Source organism: Homo sapiens, chromosome X (assembly GCF_000001405.40).
Source record: "Homo sapiens chromosome X, GRCh38.p14 Primary Assembly".
Taxonomy (NCBI): Eukaryota; Metazoa; Chordata; class Mammalia; order Primates; family Hominidae; genus Homo; species Homo sapiens.
The window spans coordinates 31460382-31480449 of record NC_000023.11 but is presented as its reverse complement, the minus strand read 5'-3'; the positions used below and the strand labels follow the sequence as shown (position 1 = coordinate 31480449).

The following is a 20068-nucleotide window of genomic DNA, read 5'->3' as shown; positions in this document are numbered from 1 at the left end:
ATTCAGAAAGTACTTCCCTATCTGTAGGCTGAATCCTAATATTCTACTTACAGAACTCCAGTATTTTGGTTCAAACGCCTTCCCTTTCTCTATTGAATTGTAAATAGCTGTGGATGATGAATCATTTTGCAAAGTATCAGACTCAGGATTCTTTTGAATGGTGAACACCGCTAAGATTTTATTAATAAATGTGTCATACAATACAGCTCTGGAACACTTCTGTAACATAATGGCATATCTGAAATTCAAGGAAGAATACTGCTAATTTGTTTTTCCCCAGTGAAAGAACAGGGCTTAAATTCAGCAGGCAACATTGCTAAAAGACAGAGTTGAAAAAAGTTACAAAAATTAAGCCCTAGATCAGGGCAAATATTACTGTTATTGTTAAACAGTTATATTAGCATTTATGTAGCATGCACTTAATACTTTTATTAATACCCTCACTTCTGAGATCAAAGAATCTGGGTCAATAACTCTCTTCAATGGTGTCAGAGTATCCGTTAGGTTATTCTAGGCTCACGGTATACCTCACGATCCTTTTAGCACTCGATTATGTGTGAACTTACTGTTTTCACTCTGCTTCTAGTGTTAATTTTCTCCCTTCTTTGGATCTAGAAACTTTTTGAAGGCAGAAACTATTCATTTTGTTTTTCTCTTGATCCCCTGGATAAAGGAAGATTACAGATTAAAGATTAATTCTAGATCTGTTCATTTATAGAAACTAGTGTCCGCAATTCCTACATCCATAATAGCTCAAAACATTTCTACTATTCTCAAAGAGGTCACAATGGATGATGTAATGACTATTTTTCAAAAGTATTGAGACTTTTCTCTTAGCTTACCTATTTTATACCTTGTCAGACATTTTGACAGAATTAACTGGTGATTGTCAGTTGGATTCATTGTATACTTTAATATAGCCTAAGGTCCTGCAAATGGCCCTTAAGGCTTCCCATTATGTTCTGGATATCCACTATTTGGGGTATGTTTAAGTCCTCATTAGCCATGCTAGAGTTTTGCAATATATACCTTGAAACTTTAGCTGTAGATTTGAAGTATGGCTGTCAGGTTACATAAACAAAGCACTCTTATCTCAATGAGAGGGCATTAACTATCCAGAATGCTCCCCCCATCTCCCCAGAATAGCTTTACAAACACAGCGCTTTCCTCATTAACAGATAGACCCATATAGCCTTTAAAAAAAATCATTTTATAACCATCAGTGTATAAATAAAAGAGATAGAAATTGACCTGGGAGTTTCATAAACAAGTTCTGAGCACCCAGGATTAATTTTGAGAAGAATGCCACAAGCCAAATAAGCACTTCTTTTCATCTCATTTCACAGGCCTTCAAGAGGGAATTGAAAACTAAAGAACCTGTAATCATGAGTACTCTTGAGACTGTACGAATATTTCTGACAGAGCAGCCTTTGGAAGGACTAGAGAAACTCTACCAGGAGCCCAGAGGTAATTGAATGTGGAACTATAATAACATATTGATAGAAGGATCAGTGGTGACGGAGCAGCCCATCCATTCTTGCTGCCAGGGTCTGGATAGCTCTCATATTTTCTTGGTTAAATAGAATCAATTCAAATTAAACATAGATGCTGAAAAAAAAATAAGGACTCATAAACTACCATGCATAAATCAGTTTGTGCATTCATAAATAAACATCAAAAGAGATTAGCAATCAGTTATTGGAACATTTAGAAAATAATAAACAAAGGGAGTTATCTGTGAGGAGGAATTCTATTGTTGCAAAGACTACAAGTTAATTTTCCATTTAAGAGCCTGCCTGAAGTAAATTAGAGCTTGTGGTATGCATCCTAACGTTTTTCTCCTCAATAGCTTAAGTGAATCTTAAATTGTCGGATTGATATAAGGTAGAAACTCAGGAAGATATACTTTAGATGTTCTGGGCTGTATCAAAATTTATGCCAAAGTATAAAAAAGCCGTTAATCAGTAGGTTACCCTCTTGTTCAACTGTACTCTTTCTTTCTTCCAGTATGACCTTTTTGACAATGTTTAAAAAAAAAGAATGTGGCCTAAAACCTTGTCATATTGCCAATTTAGAGCTGCCTCCTGAGGAGAGAGCCCAGAATGTCACTCGGCTTCTACGAAAGCAGGCTGAGGAGGTCAATACTGAGTGGGAAAAATTGAACCTGCACTCCGCTGACTGGCAGAGAAAAATAGATGAGACCCTTGAAAGACTCCGGGAACTTCAAGAGGCCACGGATGAGCTGGACCTCAAGCTGCGCCAAGCTGAGGTGATCAAGGGATCCTGGCAGCCCGTGGGCGATCTCCTCATTGACTCTCTCCAAGATCACCTCGAGAAAGTCAAGGTACCGTCTACTTCTTTGCTTCAGGGCCCTTTGAGAGACTCAAAAGAGCTTCTAATCTGAACTTGAGTGCAGTGTTATCTTCCCACAAAGTTAAAGCTAGAGAAATCAGTCCGTCTTTCACAAATTCAGTCTTCATTCACATGGTATTTTCTCCAAGAGAAGACAGTGATCTAATTATTTGTCTGTCTTCAGTTATATGAAATGAAATATTAAAACAGTTACAGGGCAAGAAATCACTTTGACTTTGATATTAAGTGATTGTACTAAAGTCTGATGTGTGTGTGTGTGTGTGTGTGTGTGTGTGTGTGTATTGGTGTATTGCTTGTGTTACTTAGTATCAGAATACAGAAAAATAAAACACTTAATCAAAAGCCAGGAGTCTAGGTGTTGGCCCTTTTGCTAACCAAATTACATGACTTGGGTAAGTTATGGTTTGGTGAAATAAGGCTGTTAATGTGTTGCCCTTCCCTTGGAAGGCAACATTTGTAATACAGTTTCAAGTTTCATTGGCCCACTGCAGAAATGAGGGAAAATCATTATATATTTGGAAGACCACTGTCTATAAGACCAAAGTTAAATTCCCTTGTGGCACAAAGATGGCAAATATATTCTGTAGAAAAAAATACATATTTAGGAGTATCATTTTGAAATCAGCAACTACTCATCTATTGTCAAAATCACAAAAATCCTCCTAGATTAAAATTCAAAAGAAGTTAAATTCCCTCATGCACTCAGCATGTTTGCCAGCATCTCAGCATCCTCATTCTAGAAGTTGTCCTCTTCCTTGGCTTTCATGGAACTGTTCCATCCATGTTCTTCTTCCTATATTTTTCTAGATTCTTCTCCTAGCCACCCCTCAAATACTGTTGTGCCCAAGTTTCTAACCTTAGCCTAATTCTCTTTTGATTGTTTAAACCCTCCCTGTTTGAGATGGCCTGGATGGTGATGTATCTACATCTCTAGTCCGCATCTCTCTTCTGATCTCTGAATCCATGTGGCATTACGATCACAAATGCAACTATTCTGAAACCAAGTTCATTTGTTCTCCTGTTTTCCATTTCCCTACTTCTGTCCCCTCTTATCTGACCTTTTTTTTCCTGTTTCCTATTTCAGTTAATGAATCATCATCCAACAAATTTTCCAGGCTAGAAACTTTAGGTTCATCCTTAAACCCTTCTGCATTTTCACTGATGGCACATGATGGCTCATGTTACCTCAGAATAGCTCTTTTGTGTTTTCTCTCCTCTTTTAACCAATGTCCTTTTTAATCCCCAGCATCTTTTACTTAGATGATAACAGTATACATCTTTAAATCCCATTCACCCCTCTGTGTGCCTGGCATATCTCAGATACTGCATTTTAAACATTTGGTGAATTAATGGATGGATGAATGGTTTCTTTGCTGATGTTCCTGCATTACCCAGCTTCTTCCAATTCCAATCCAAACTCCTTGCGGGAGAATACTTGCCTAGAGAATGAAATCCAATGAATAAGGAGATTACGTGGCCCTTTTCTTCCTAGCCTTGACTTACCTTCTCAGCCATAGCTCCTATTCTCCAGACCATTTAATACACTCTGCCCATATGATATATATATATATGTGATGGCATATTTGGGAAAAAGGGGTGATATGGGCAGAGTGTATTGAATGTGTGTGTCTGTAAAGTATGTGTGTGTGTGTGTGTATATATATATATATATATATATACACACACACACATACATAGTTAGATATATACATAGTATATATACATATATACATAGATATACACATATATATACACATAGATATAGATATAGATATATCTGCCTTTGCAAATGCTGTTCTCTCTGTCTGGATCCCCCTACGTTGTCTACTTGGCGAATTCTCCTTCAGCCCTCAAGGACCAGCCAAAATGTTACCTATCTTTGTTGTCTTTCCTGAGTGTCTACAACCCCCAACTCCCACCAAGCAGAAGAAACTGCTTACAGTTGGTACTCTCATAGATCACCAAGCATGCTAAATTGTCACACTTAAATTTCACATATATTGTAGCAACTTGCTTATGCATTTTTTTTTCTCCCAGAGAAAGTGAAGTTGCTAAGAGCAAGGATCATGCTGTACATCTTTGGGCTGCTAGCCCAGGGCCAGCAACATATGAGGAATCTCATTAGGTACCTTCATTTATTCACTCAACAACTGTTTATGAGTCATTATATAATGTGCTGGACAGGTAGTTATAAAAGAAACAGACTTGATCATTGCCTTCATGAAGCCTATGGTCTAATGTTGAATTGCATAGCTCTTCATTAAAATAGTAGGTAAAATTTTTAAAAAGAAAAGATTAAAAATTTGACTCTAATACTTGTAAAATCCCTTCTACCCCAATGTTTTATGACCCCATGTCTAACATTTAAAGTAAGGGTTAACCTTGCTGTGTACTGGAAAACTAAGGGTTTTGAAATGTATTACCTAGTATTTTAAAAGCATTAAATATGTTGATTTTATTCAAAAATATAGGGACTAATTTTTTGACAGACTTCTCCAAAAATGAGAAATAAGTTAGGAAAATGTCCCAGTGGAACTAAATTAGTTAATATGTCAATTAAATTGCTCAATAGATAGGCTGTAGAGCAGACATAAGGGATTCATTTTTAGCCATACTTGTCACACAGGTGCATTTGTAAGATACTGAGTATGGATGGAGAAGAGAATGTGTACAGCATAATTTAATAATTAAAAATAACTAAAAGCATAACAGTTCAAGTATCAGCTGGCCTTCACCCAACCCTATTTGCGGTATTCCTTTTAGTTTCCCTGTCTTATCTGTTCTTGGTCTTAAGACAAACTTCATTTTCCATACCCTGATTGGTAAAACTCTCATTCTGATCCCAATGATAGCAAAACATATAAACATTAAACATACCTTTCGAAAAATTATATTTATAACCCAGCACATCTATCTTTCTCAGACATATATACACTTAAGTTATGGTACTTATCTGAATTTTTATGTACTGGTAATAGTAGATGTGATTGGGCTTTTGAATCTGTGTTGTATTTTATGCGTGTTTCAAACTATGAATTACATGAATTCATATATATTTATCTCCCTTCGGTAGCTCTTCTTTAATTTTGCAGTGGAAATAAATCATTTTTCTCCACTGCATCTTATTGACACTGGGTTTGAAACTCTGAAGCTTTGGGGGTAGTAGTTTACAAAGAATGAGTTTTATTAACTAAAATTTATTTCAGAAAAAAAGTAGAAGTGTACTTGAAACCACTCTTCCCATTTTTCCACTCAGCAATTTAAGCCCTCAGAGGATTCATGCTGTAGGGAACTTTTCTAATAAACCATGGTTTCTCTTTTTTTATTTTATTTTATTTTATTTTATTTTATTTTATTTTATTTTTTTTTTGCGACAGTCTCGCTCTGTCACCCAGGCTGGAGTGCAGTGGTGCTATCTCGGCTCACTGCAACCTCCACCTCCTGGGCTCAAGCAGTTCTCCGCCTCAGCCTCCCAAATAGCTGGGACTACAGGCGCCCACCACCATGCCCAGCTATTTTTTTTTTTTTGTATTTTTTAGTAGAGATGGGGTTTCACCATGTTGGCCAGGCTAGTCTCGAACTTCTGACCTCAGGTGATCCACTCACCTTGGCCTCCCAAAGTGGATTACAGCACTGATAACTAGGCAGCTAGCTAGAAGAACATTTTATATATCCATATCAGTTCATTTTCCTTACCCCTAGACACTCTATCATAGTACCCCCCCTCCATTCTGATCTTATGTGTTAAATAACTTGTTATTCAAGAAACTAAGTAATATGTGTTTCTGTGAGATTTAGCATTCTGTAATTGTATTAGCAAATGTGGCTTTTGGATTTAAAGAATGGGTGAAACAACAATGACTAAGTCCCTGGCCTTTATGGAAATGGCATTATTGCTAGCTGATCATCTGCGGGTGGTGAACATGGTAAATTAATAAATGGAAACACAATATTAATATTGACTATATTGCTCACTAAGAGAATCTCAGCCTTCCAAACATAGCTTCCATAGGAAAAAACAGTAGAATCAAATTTAAGTTTTAAATGCTTCTTTACTTTTAAAATTCATGATTTATACTGCTTATCAAATATTTTAAGGGCAAGATCATGACTTTTCACTTTACTGAAAATAGCACCAGTGCTTATTTGACTAGACAAATATTCTACCTTCCTTGTAATGGGGAATAGGAATAACTTTTTGAATTACTAGGTGTTCCACATAGATCTGTAAGTGGAATATATAAAGGCTTTAATAAAGTAGAATAACTTTTAAACCTGTAGTCTGGATACAAGATTTTTGTTCTTCAGGACAATCCCAAGGTGAAAAGGTTTGTGGATTGTTGTTTTCTTTTTTTTTTTTTTTTTGAGACAGAGTCTCACTCTGTCACCAGGCTGGAGTGCAGTGGTGAGATCTCGGCTCGCTGAACCTCCTGGGTTCAAGCAATTCTCCTGCCTCAGCCTCCTGAGTAGCTGGGACTACAGGCGCGCACCACCACGCCCAGCTGATTTTTGTAATTTTAGTAGAGACGGGGTTTCACCATGTTGGCCAGGATGGTCTTGATCTCTTGATCTCGTGATCCGCCCACCTTGGCCTCCCAAAGTGCTGGGATTACAGGCGTGAGCCACCGCTCCCGGCCAGATTGCTGTTTTTTAATGTTTTGTTTTTGTTTTAATAAACCATGGTTTCTCTTTTTTTAATTTTTTTTTTTTTGAGACAGTCTCACTCTGTCACCCAGGCTGGAGTGCAGTGGTGCTGTCTCGGCTCACTGCAACCTCCGCCTCCTGGGTTCAAGCAATTCTCTGCCTCAGCCTCCTGAGTAGCTGGGATTACAGACATGTGCCACCACGCCTGGCTAATTTTTTTTTTTTTTTTGGATTTTTTAGTAGAGATGGGGTTTCACCACGTTGGCCAGGCTGGTCTCGAACTTCTGACCTCAGGTGATCCGTTCACCTTGGCCTCCCAAAGTGCTGGGATTACAGGCGTGAGCCACTGCGCCCAGACTATAAACCATAGTTTCTCTGTACCAAAAGTGGTATGTCCTTCTTGAGCCAGGAATATTTCACTGTTCTTAGTTTACCTGTTGACTCTGAACACAGTTTTTCATACACTGTAAATAACTCTCCCAGGCTGCCATCTTGGAATATGCAAATCTGTCGCATCTATGTAGTTATGCATATCGCATTTTTGTCAAACTTTTAACTTGCATTTCTTACTGTGAAAAGTCAGGGCAGGGATTCTATGAGTTTTTTCTTTAAAGTTCCTACAATGAAATGTTTTGATTAAACCTTTTTTGGCATTCAAATTGAGATTGATTTAATGATGTGTGTAGTAGGCTAGAAATTATGATGAAGTGACGATGCCATCCTTATTTATCTTCAGCATTCACATCTAAAGTTTTAAGAAGAAAACTGGCAAATCCACCTTTTTAGGCTTACCATCCTCAGTCCCTGTGGCTTTGGGTTTTTTTGAGAAATTTGTCAAAGAAACGCTATGTTAGAATTTGACATTGAGGAAGCCAAGCATATTTCCTCTGAATAGATAATGTGAAATGTGATATAATGTATTAGAATTTCATCTTCACTTTGGCAAGCAAGATACTTGCAACCATGTTCATGCAACTATCTTCCCTTATTGCTTTTCTCTTCTTAACCTTGGTTCTAAAGTTTTCTTCTTATTGTATTAATTTTGTTATGCTTCCCATTTATATGAGTCAAGTCAACCTTACTTGATTTCTTATATATGAGTTATGTAAGGAAAACTTATCTTTTCTTATAGAATTAGGGGATGAATGAGCAGATAGAACCAACATGAACAGGGCGATCCTAAAAATCATTCAAAACATGTAAGCTCTCCCAACTCTGAATAAACTTGTGATATCTTCATAATGAATAAGGTATACTGCCTATAGTAGGAAGAGGAAAATTTATTAATGTTTTGTGCATTGTTAAAGAACTACAAATGAATTGCCGTGTGGAGGCTTTCATTGTTGTTGTTGTAAAAATGCTATGTGTATTAAGTAAGCCTTTGATGGAGAAGAAAAAACAAAGAAAAAATATTTAATCCTTCATAAATCTGGGTTAAATATGAAGCTAATTCCTGTTATTTGGAGTAACCAGGGTTTTATCTAGTTTACAAAGCATGCAATTGCAATGTTTAAAAGCATATGATTTGGCCTTTAATATCTGAAAATATGTCTATCAAAGGCCATATTATAGCGAGTGTCACTCCATACTTTATAAGTACGGTATATTTTTAATAGAATGTTTATGTACTGGTGATAAGAGATGTTACTGGGTTTCTAAACCAGTACTGTATTAAGGATTTTATGCTATTGTAAGATTATGGATTATGTGAATTCATATATATTGATTTACTTTCAGTAGCTTTTCAATAGAATATCTAGGGTTTAATACAGCTTAGAAACTAAAGCAGGAATTATTCATCTTTAAAATCCTGACCAAAGAAGTGGCTGGCAAGATGGCTGAATAGGAACAGCTCAGGTGCGCAGCCCCTAGTGAGATCAACACAGAAGGTGGGTGATTTCTGCATTTCCAACTGCAGTACCCGGCTCATCTCACTGGGACTGGTTAGACAGTGGGTGCAGCCCACAGAGGGCGCAGAAGCACGGTGGGATGTCGCCTCACCCCGGAAGCACAAGGGGTCAGGGAATTCCCTCCCCTAGCCAACAGAAGCCGTGAGGGACTGTGCCCTGAGGAACGGAGCATTCCAGCCCAGACACTATGCTTTTCCCACAGCCTCCGCAACATGCAGACCAGGAGATTCCCTCGGGTGCCTACGCCACCAGGGCCCTGGGTTTCAAGCACAAAATTGGGCAGCTGTTTGGGCAGACACCGAGCTAGCTGCAGGCGTTTTTTTCATATCCCAGCGTCACCTGGAACACCAGCGAGATAGAACCATTCACTCCCCTGGAAAGGGGACTGAAGTCAGGGAGCCAAGTGGTCTAGCTCAGTGGATCCCACCCCCAACGGAGCCCAGCCAGCTAAGATCCACTGGCTTGAAATTCTCGCTGCCAGCACAGCAGTCTGAAGTGGACCTGGGATACTCAAGCTTAGTGTGGGGAGGGGCACCTGCCATTACTGAAGCTTGAGTAGGCAGTTTTCCCCTCACAGTGTAAACAAAGCCGTCAAGAAGTTCTAACTGGGCGGAGCTCACCGCAGCTCGGCAAAGCCACTGTAGCCAGATTGCCTCTCTAGATTCCTTCTCTCTGGGCAGGGCATCTCTGAAAGAAAGGCAGCAGCCCCAGTCAGGGGCTTATAGATAAAACTCCCATCTCCCTGGGACAGAGCACCACGGGGAAGGGGCAGCTGTGGGTGCAGCATCAGCAGACTTAAACGTTCCTGCCTGCTGGCTCTGAAGAGAGCAGCAGATCTCCCAGCACAGCACTCGAGCTCTGCTAAGGGACAGACTGCCTTCTCAAGTGGGGTCCTGACCCCCGTGCCTCCTGACTGGGAGACACCTCCCAGCAGGGGTTGACAGACACCCTCATACAGGAGAGCTCTGGCTGGCATCTGGCAGGTGCCCCTCTGGGATGAAGCTTCCAGAGGAAGGAACAGACAGCAATCTTTGCTGTTCTGCAGCTTCTGCTGGTGATACTCAGGCAAACAGGGTCTGGAGTGGACCTCCAGCAAATTCCAGCAGACCTGCAGCAGAGGGTTCCTGACTGCTAGCATCAACATCAACAAAAAGGACGTCCACACAAAAACCCCATCTGAAGGTCACCAACATCAAAGACCAAAGGTAGATAAATCCACGAAGATGAGGAAAAACCAGCACAAAAAGCCTGAAAATTCCAAAAACCGGAACGCCTCTTCTCCTCCAAATGATCACAACTCCTCTCCAGCAAGGGAACAAAACTGGATGGAGAATGAGTTTGACGAATTGACGGAAGTAGGCTTCAGAAGGTGGGTAATAACAAACTCTTACGAGCTAAAGGAGCGTGTTCTAACCCAATGCAAGGAAGCTAAGAACCTTAAAAAAAAGGTTAGAGGAATTGCTAACTAGAATAACCAGTTTAGAGAGGAACATAAATGACCTGAAGGAGCTGAGAAACACAGCACGAGAACTTTGTGAAGCATACACAAGTATCAATAGCCAAATCGACCAAGCAAAAGAAAGGATATCAGAGACTGAAGATCAACTTAATGAAATAAAGCATGAAGAGAAGATTACTGAAAAAAGAATGAAAAGGAACAAACAAAGCCTTCAAGAAATATGGGACGATGTGAAAAGACCAAACCTACATTTGATTGGTGTACCTGAAAGTGATGGGGAGAATGGAACCAAGTTGGAAAACACTCTTCAGGTTATTATCCAGGAGAACTTCCCCAACCTAGCAAGACAGGCCAACATTCAAATTCAGGAAATATGGAGAACACCACAAAGATACTCCTTGAGAAGAGCAACCCAAGACACATAATAATCGGATTCACCAAGGTTGAAATGAAGGAAAAAATGTTAAGGGCAGCCAGAGAGAAAGGTCAGGCTACCCCAAAGGAAAGCCCATCAGACTAACAGCGGATCATTTGGCAGAAACCCTACAAGCCAGAAGAGAGTGGGGGCCAATATTCAACATTCTTAAAGAAAAGAATTTTCAACCCAGAATTTCATATCCAGCCAAACTAAGCTTCATAAGCAAAGTAGAAATAAAATCCTTTACAGACAAGCAAATGCTGAGAGATTTTGTCACCACCAGGCCTGCCTTACAAGAGCTTCTAATGAAGGAAGCACTAAATATGGAAAGGAAAAACTGGTACCAGCCATGGTAAAAACATAACAAATTGTAAAGACCATCACACTATGAAGAAACTGCATCAACTAACGGGCAAAGTAACCAGCTAGCATCATAATGACAGGATCAAATTCACACATAACAATATTAACCTTAAATGTAAACAGGCTAAATGCCCCAATTAAAAGACACAGACTGGCAAATTGGATAAAGACTCAAGACCCATCAGTGTGCTGTATTCAGAAGACCCACCTCATGTGCAGAGACACACATAGGCTCAAAATAAAGGGATCGATGAATATTTACCAAGCAGCAAATGGAAAGAAAAAAAAAGCAGGGGTTGCAATCCTAGTCTCAGACAAAACAGACTTTAAACCAATAAAGATCAAAAAGGACAAAAAAAATGGTATTACATAATGGTAAAGTGATCAATGCAACAAGAAGAGCTAACTATCCTAAATATATATGCACCCAATATAGGAGCACCCGGATTCATAAAGTAAGTTCTTAGAGACCTACAAAGAGACATAGATGCCCATACAATAATAGTGGGAGATTTTAACACCCCACTGTCAATATTAGACGGATCAACGAAACAGAAAATTAACAAGGATATTCAGGACTTAAACTCAGCTCTGGACCAAGTGGACTTAATAGACATCTACAGAACTCCCCACCCCAAATCAACAGAATATACATTATTCTCAGCACCACATCACACTTATTATAAAATTGACCACATAATTGGAAGTAAAACACTCCTCAGCAAATGCAAAAAAACAGAAATCATAAGAGTCTCTCAGACCACAGTACAATCAAATTAGAACTCAGGATTAAGAAACTCACTCAAAACCACACAACTACATGGAAACTGAGCAACCTGCTCCTGAATGACTGCTGGATAAATAAGGAAATTAAGGCAGAAATGAATAAGTTCTTTCAAACCAATGAGAATAAATACACAACGGACCAGAATCTCTGGGACACAGCTAAAGCAGTATTTAGAGGGAAATTTACAGCATTAAAATCCCCACAGGAGAAAGCAGGAAATATCTAAAATTGACACCTTAACATCACAATTAAAAGAAGTAGAGAAGCAAGAGCAAACAAATTCCAAAGCTAGCAGAAGAGAAGAAATAACTACGATCAGAGCAGAACTGAAGGAGATAGAGACATGAGAAATCCTTCAAAAAATCAATGAAGCCAGGGGCTGGTTTTTTGAAAAGATTAACAAAATAGATAGACTGCTAGCCAGACTAATAAAGAAGAAAAGAGAGAAGAATCAGACAGACACAAGAAAAAATGATAAAGGGGATATTAGCTCTCATCCCACAGAAATACAAACTACCATCAGAGAATACTATAAACACCTCTACGCAAATAAACTAGAAAATCTAGAAGAAATTGATTAATTTCTGGACACATACACCCTCCCAAGACTAAACCAGGAAGAAATCGAATCCCTGAATAGACCAATAACGAGTTCTGAAATTGAGGCAGTAATTAATAGCCTACCAACCAAAAAAAGCCCAGGAACAGATGGATTCACAGCTGAATTCTACCAGAGGTACAAAGAGGAGCTGGTACCATTCCTTCTGAAACTATTCTAAACAATAGGAAAAGAGGGACTCCTCCCTAACTCTTTTTATGAGGCCAGCATCATCCTGATACCAAAACCTGGCAGAGACACAACAGACAAAGAAAATTTCAGGCCAATATCCCTGATGAACATCAATGCGAAAATCCTCAATAAAATACTGGCAAACCGAATCCAGCAGCACATGAAAAAGCTTATCCAGCATGATCAAGTTGGCTTCATCCCTGGGATGCCAGGCTGGTTCAACATACAGAAATCAATAAACATAATCCATCACTTAAACAGAACCAATGACAAAAACCACATGATTATCTCAATAGAAGCGGAAAAGGCCTTCAATAAAATTCAACACCCCTTCATGCTAAAAACTCTCAATAAATTAGGTACTGATGGAACGTATCTCAAAATAATAAGAGCTACTTATGACAAACCCACAGCCATTATCATACTGAATGGGCAAAAGCTGGAAGCACTCCCTTTAAAAACCGGCACAAGACAAGGATGCCCTCTCCCACCACTCGTATTCAACATAATATTGGAAGTTTTGGCCAGGACAATCAGGCAAGGGAAAGAAATAAAGGGTATTCAAATAGGAAGAGAGGAAGTCAGATTGTCTCTGTTTGCAGCTGACATGATTGTATATTTAGAAAACCCCATCGTCTCAACCCAAAATCTTCTTAAGCTGATAAGCAACTTCAGCAAAGTCTCAGGATACAAAATCAATGTGGAAAAATAGTAAGCATTCCTATACGCCAATAATAGACAAAGAGAGTGCCAAATCATGAGTGAATTCCCATTCACAATTGCTTCAAAGAGAATAAAATACCTAGGAATACAACTTAGAAGGGATGTGAAAGACCTCTTCAAGGAGAACTACAAACCACTGCTCAAGGAAATGAGAGAGGACACCACAAACAAATGGAAGAACATTCCATGCTCATGGATAGGAAGAATCAATATCGTGAAAATGGCCATACTGTCCAAAGTAATTTATAGATTCAATGCAGTCTCCATCAAGCTACCATTGACTTTCTTCACATAATTAGAAAAACTACTTTAAATTTCATATGGAACCAAAAAAGAGCCCACATAGCCAAGTCAATCCTAAGCAAAAAGAACAAAGCTGGAGGCATCATGCTACCTGACTTCAAACTATACTACAAGGCTTCAGTAACCAAAACAGTATGGTATTGGTACCAAAACAGATATATAGACCAATGGAACAGAGGCCTCAGAAATAATGCCACACATCTACAACCATCTGATCTTTGACAAACCTGACAAAAACAAGCAATGGAGAAAGGATTCCCTATTCAGTAAATGGTGCTGGGTAAACCGGCTAGCCATCTACAGAAAACTGAAACTGGACCCCTTCCTTACACCTTATACAAAAATTAACTCAAGACTTAAACATAAAACCTAAAACCATAAAAACCCTAGAAGAAAACCTAGGCAATACCATTCAGGATATAGGCATGGGCAAAGACTTCACGACTAAAACACCAAAAGCAATGGCAACAAAAGCCAAAATTGACAAATGGAATCTAATTAAACTAAAGAGCTTCTGCACAGCAAAAGAAACTATCATCAGAGTGAACAAGCAACCTACAGAATGGGAGAAAATGTTTGCCATCTATTCATCTGACAAAGGGCTGATATCCAGAATCTACAAGGAACTTAAACAAATTTACAAGAAAAAACCTAATCAAAAATTGGGCAAAGGATATGAACAGACACTTCTCAAAGTAAGACATTTATGCGGCCAACAAACATGAAAAAAAGCTCATCATCACTGGTGATTAGAGAAATGCAAATCAAAACACACCAGTTACAATGGCGATCATTAAAAAGTCAGGAAACATCAGGTGCTGGGGAAGATGTGGAGAAATAGGTGTGCTTTTACACTGTTGGTGGGAGTGTAAATTAGTTCAACCATTGTGGAAGACAGTGTGGCAATTCCTCAAGGATCTAGAACCAGAAGTACCATTTGATCCAGCAATCCCATTACTGGTTATATACCCAAAGGATTATAAATCATTCTACTATAAAGACACATGCACATGTATGTTTGTTGCAGCACTGTTCACAATAGCAAAGACTTGGAACCAACCCAAATGCTCATCAATGATAGACTGGATAAAGAAAACGTGGCACAGATACACCATGGAATACTATGCAGCCATAAGAAAGGATGAGTTCATGTCCTTGGCAGGGACATGGATGAAGCTGGAAGCCATCAATCTCAGCAAACTAACACAGGAACAGAAAACCAGGCACCGCATGTTCTCACTCGTAAGTGGGAGTTGAACAACGAGAGCCCATGGACACAGGGACGGGAACATCACACACCGGGGCCTGTCGAGGGGTGGGAGGTTAGGGGAGGGATAGCAGTAAGAGAAATACCTAATGTAGATGACAGGTTGATGGGTGCAGCAAACCACCATGGCATGTGTATACCTATGTAACAAACCTGCACGTTCTGCACATGTATCCCAGAACTTAAAGTATAATAATAATAAAAAAAAAATCCTGACCAAATTATTTATTCAATGTGAAATTAATTGTAAGTTAGTGTTGCCAGGAGAGCTTATTACTTAGTTACCATGTATTCCCTCTCATCTCCTGCTTTGTTTATAAAGCTAAAAGCAAATTACTTAGGACAGCAATGTCAAATCACTTTCTTTCCCCAAAGCATCTGATTTTAGATAGCGCTGTGTGTGTTTTAAAAGCCCCTACCTCGACTTAGGCAAACAGAACCTTCGTTTACCATGCTATTCCCATCCCGCCTTTGAAACTTCTGAAAAGGCAGAGCGGAGTAATTGTTTCAGACATCTGCTTAGCATACTTTGAAGTGCATATAAGTTCTTTTTCAGTTTCATTTGAACCCCAGCTGTCTTCACCGAAGTCTATAATCAATCTGAATTAAGTTGTCCTACTTCTCCTAATAAGTCTCTTATTAAGTTCTGCATCAGCCTCTTAGGGAGACTTAAAAGCTAATTCATGTAGAATTGCCATTTTCTACTAATTCACTTGTCAGCTCTCCAAATTCCAACAAAAACAATTGCAAAGACTATTAATTTGGCTCTTCATAAACAACTTATGTAAGTGTAGTATACATTGGAACCAAACAAACGATTTAAAACAGTGGGTGGGAGGAAATGAGTTGATGGCATTCAAAACGCTTCCTTTTTTGACTGTTATGAAATGCCTTCCACATCGAAAGCATAAAGCCATTTATTTAATAAGGGAAACATCCTTCTGCTTTTACTTTCATAGATGAGATAATGACTGAATGAACTTTGCTTAAAGACAGGAAAAGGCTTTAGAACAGTTGGAAAAGGAACATGTTCTTTTTGTCATTGAACTTATTTTAATTTGGACTTCTTTGTGTTATTTTGATGGACTGTGATAAAAGAAGGAGCTAGAATTGGTTATTATTGTTATTGGATTAAATCAGAGTTGTACAGCTACTCTTCTGGTCATGGGATATTTAGGAGAACACGGGTAATCAAAATGTTCAGCTAATGAGTTCATCTGATTCTACTCAAGAAGTGTTTAATCAGATAATAAAAATTTCTCCAAATAATACCATCCTTCCTACTATTTGAAAACAACCATATCAACATCTGATCCTATAATATGCCAATCCTGTTTGCTAGGATTTTCTGAAAGCTTTGTTTGTGGTGGGTAATAACTAGAAATACTATTCCTCAAGAGTCTCGGGTAATAAAAGATTATTCAAAAAACTTAAGTAATATACTCTCAGTATTAGAGGATATACAAATGCACTCATTCATTAATTCATGATATGATTGAAACCTATACCCAGAGAAGTCTGATCTCATTATAGAGTGTGAACATTTAATTTATTTCAAAAACAAAAATTATATTGAGAGTTGTATAGATGGCATCTTAGTTTTCCTGGGAATATTATTATTTAGCACCAAGCTGAGGGAGCAAGAATTTGTATTAGCTTGTGTATACATGTGCATGTACCACATTAACTAGAAACAGTGCTAAAATGTGAGTTATTTATTTAACTGAAATTCCATATTTCCTAAGAAAATGGAATCACACAGCCAATATATATTTTTAATTATTTTTTGACATCTACCAAAGTTGTGACAAGAATAAAGTTCACAATTCTGTTACTCTCCTACCGTTCAGTAAAACAGGAAATGCTTTAAGATCAAATAACCCAAGGAGTTCGCTTCTTCCTGTCATGCTTGACAATTACAATTTTCAAAATTTAACAGTTAGCATTGACACCAGTATTATGCCTTACACAACCTGAAATTAACTAAGTTAAGTAATGGCATTGAATAATTTTTCTTGGTAAATCAGTTTTCTGGGTATTATGGGAACAGTTGTGTCTGTGATACTAATGTCTCTCTCATTTTAATGGGGCCTAAGAAAGAACTTTTTCATAATAAGATTTTTTCATGTTAAAATAATATTTTTAGTTATAGTTTACACTTACTGCAGGTTTTTCTATTTAAAAGCATCTTCCGAGAGCAGTGATTCTTAAACTTATTTACTTCAGTTATCTTAACAGCATAGAAGACATAGCCTGACATCTCCCGCTTCCACTTACCTATCTCCTTTTTCCATGAGCATGAAATTTCTTTGATGTTCTTGTTTTATTTTTTAAATCTCACATCAATTTTATGGTATTTTCCATAATGGATTCATCATGTTTTAATATGAAGATGCTTTTTCTTCAAATTCTGAAGTAAGGAATCTTTCAGCACATTCACCTATGGACATGAAAGCGTAAGTTGAGAATCACAGTATAAAGGATTGCCCAGTTTTTGCAGGCTTTATCTTTTTCCATCAACTTCTGTCTTTTATGTACACAGACAAAAAGAGCAGACCCTTGCTATTTCAAATTTATCTTTTGCAGGTTCATCTGATTATTGTGATCCAAAGTTCCATGACTAGCAGCTCTTAATTTTGAACATGTATTATTTCAAGCTTTTGTGCATAGTCACTTAACTAATGAGTTAAATGGCATTTTAAGTCAGGTTCCATGAACGCAGACCCTGAGAACAGGGGTCTAGGTGCCTGTGATTTATAGAGGGTCTGCTCTCAGGAGAAGCCTGTATTGGAGTTAGGGAAACAATACAGGAGAAGAAAGAGCCCAGCAAGTATGCCATTTCAGGTGAAACCTCACATTGTGTCTGATCCAGAGAGAGAGCAAGCCCTCGAGCAGAAACCTCGCTGTGGAGTTGTACTCTTTATTTTATTTTATTTTTTTGAGATGGAGTTTCGCTCTTGTTGCCCAGGCTGGAGTGCAATCTCAGCTCACTGCAACCTCCGCCTCCCAGGTTCAAGTGATTCTCCTGCCTCAGCCTCCTGAGTAGCTGGGATTACAGGCATGCACCGCCACGCCTGGCTAATTTTTGTGTTTTTAGTAGAGATGGGGTTTCACCATGTTAGTCAGGCTGGTCTTGAACTCCTGACCTCAGGTGATCTGCCCACCTCAGCCTCCCAAAGTGCTGGGATTACAGGCGTAAGCCACAACACCGAGCCGGAGTTGTGCCTTTATACCAGTCATTGTCTGTGTCACTGAAGTGCTGGCAAATATTTGTCGACTAGCTCTGAGGTGGGATGAATCCTGGTGTGTATCAAAACCAGTTTTCGTGGTGTAAATACTCCCTCTACCACTGATCTCCAGCTACCGACATAATGCCACTGAGTATGGAATTGGGAGGAGATGCACACAATTGGCTCTTGGGCTCTGCTGCAGCACACCACTGGCTGTGGTCCACTCCTGGGATATGGGTTACTTCCTGGGCTAGGGGGCTCCCATAAGCAGAGGTCACATGTGGAGAAGGCAGGTAGCTATAAGACATTAATAGTCAACCATCACAGCAGCTGAAGGATGGATGCCCAGGTTAGGTAAAGTGTCCCCTGCAACTAATAAGTAAACCTAGTAATCCACTCACTCTTCATATTCAACTTGGCTTTTTTTAATGCTGTTTTGTTTTTGCATGTACAGTAATTCTTTATAAATAATGAGAATTTTGTTTCTTTATGGAAAATCCACCTACCCTCCACCCTACCATGAATAGCTTGATAGCTGTTCATCAGAATTAGTGATGGAAGAGAAGAGTTAATGAATGAAAAAGTCTAAGAAAGTGATCACTATTAGTAAGAAAATGGCCTCATAAGTGAGTTTGGCTTTATAGTTATGGAATCTGTAAATGTCTAGGCATTCAGACATGTCCAGACATCATTGAGAATGTCAAGAATTTTCAGTGGCAATGGTTCTCACCTCAGCATACATCAGAATCACCTGGAGGGCTTGTAGAAACTCAGGTTGGTGAACCCCTTCCCCAGAGTTCCTGATTCAAAATGTCTGGGGCAAGGCTAAGAAGTCCCAACTTGTTCCCAGGTGTTCATGATGCTGCTGGTTCAGAGATACATTCTGAGAACCAATATTCCATAGTAAAGCTACTGTGTATGTACCTGAAGACATATTTTGTGTAGTGTTAGCGTTTCTTCAATTACAAGTAATAAATATATCATTTATTATTTCTTTTATATTTATCAATATCCAGAAGATTTAGTTTAAAAATGAATGCAGGCACACAGCCTCTTGTTGGATTGATTAATAGTTTAGATATGGGAGCATCATAGGGAGCATTGTTTCGCTTAGGAACCTTGAAATGAATAAATGGCTTCTTTTCTAAATCTCACTTGTGGAAGACTTTGACGGTGGTTTATTTCATTTTTTCCTGTTGGTATTTTAATGACACTGGTACAATTTTGGGGTTGCTTCAGATGACCAACAGCATAACTTGCCTTCCCAGTATTAATTTTTAACGTTAAAAATATTTAGTCATGGCCGGCCGTGGTGGCTCACGCCTGTAATCCCAGCACTTTGGGAGGCCGAGGTGGGTGGGTTGCATGAGCTCAGGAGTTTAAGACCAGCCTGGACAACATAGTGAAACCTCGTTTGGACAAAAAATACAAAAATTAACCAGGTGTGGTGGCATGTGTCTGTAGTCCCAGCTACCCGAAAGGCTGGGGCAGGAGGACTGTTTGAGCACAGGAGGTTGAGGCTGCAGTGTGCCCTGTTCACTCCACTGTACTCCAGGCTGAGTGACAAAGCAAGACCTTGTCTCAAACTATATATATATTTAGTCACATAACTTTTCACTTTGTGTAAATATTTTTTGCATTTACCAATAAAAACAATTACATTTAAAAATTCTCCTTACACTTTTCTACCAAACATACTGATGATAAAATAGTACTTTATAGAGTTTCTGAATCTAGGATATTAAAAATAGTTGGGATCAGTCAACACTTTTTAAGTAAAATCTACTTGCTAGATATGAAT

At 38.7% G+C, this 20068-nt stretch overlaps 1 protein-coding gene across 21 annotated transcripts in view; it reads left to right on the top strand.

Annotated features, from left to right (window-relative positions):
- DMD (dystrophin) overlaps positions 1-20068 on the top strand; it is a 2220167-nt gene that overhangs the window by 1858939 nt on the left and 341160 nt on the right. For all 21 annotated transcript variants that reach the window (XM_006724469.4, NM_000109.4, XM_011545467.2 and 18 more), the window contains 2 exon segments: positions 1347-1467; positions 2076-2344. In XM_006724469.4, the coding sequence (XP_006724532.1) occupies positions 1347-1467; positions 2076-2344 (390 nt within the window).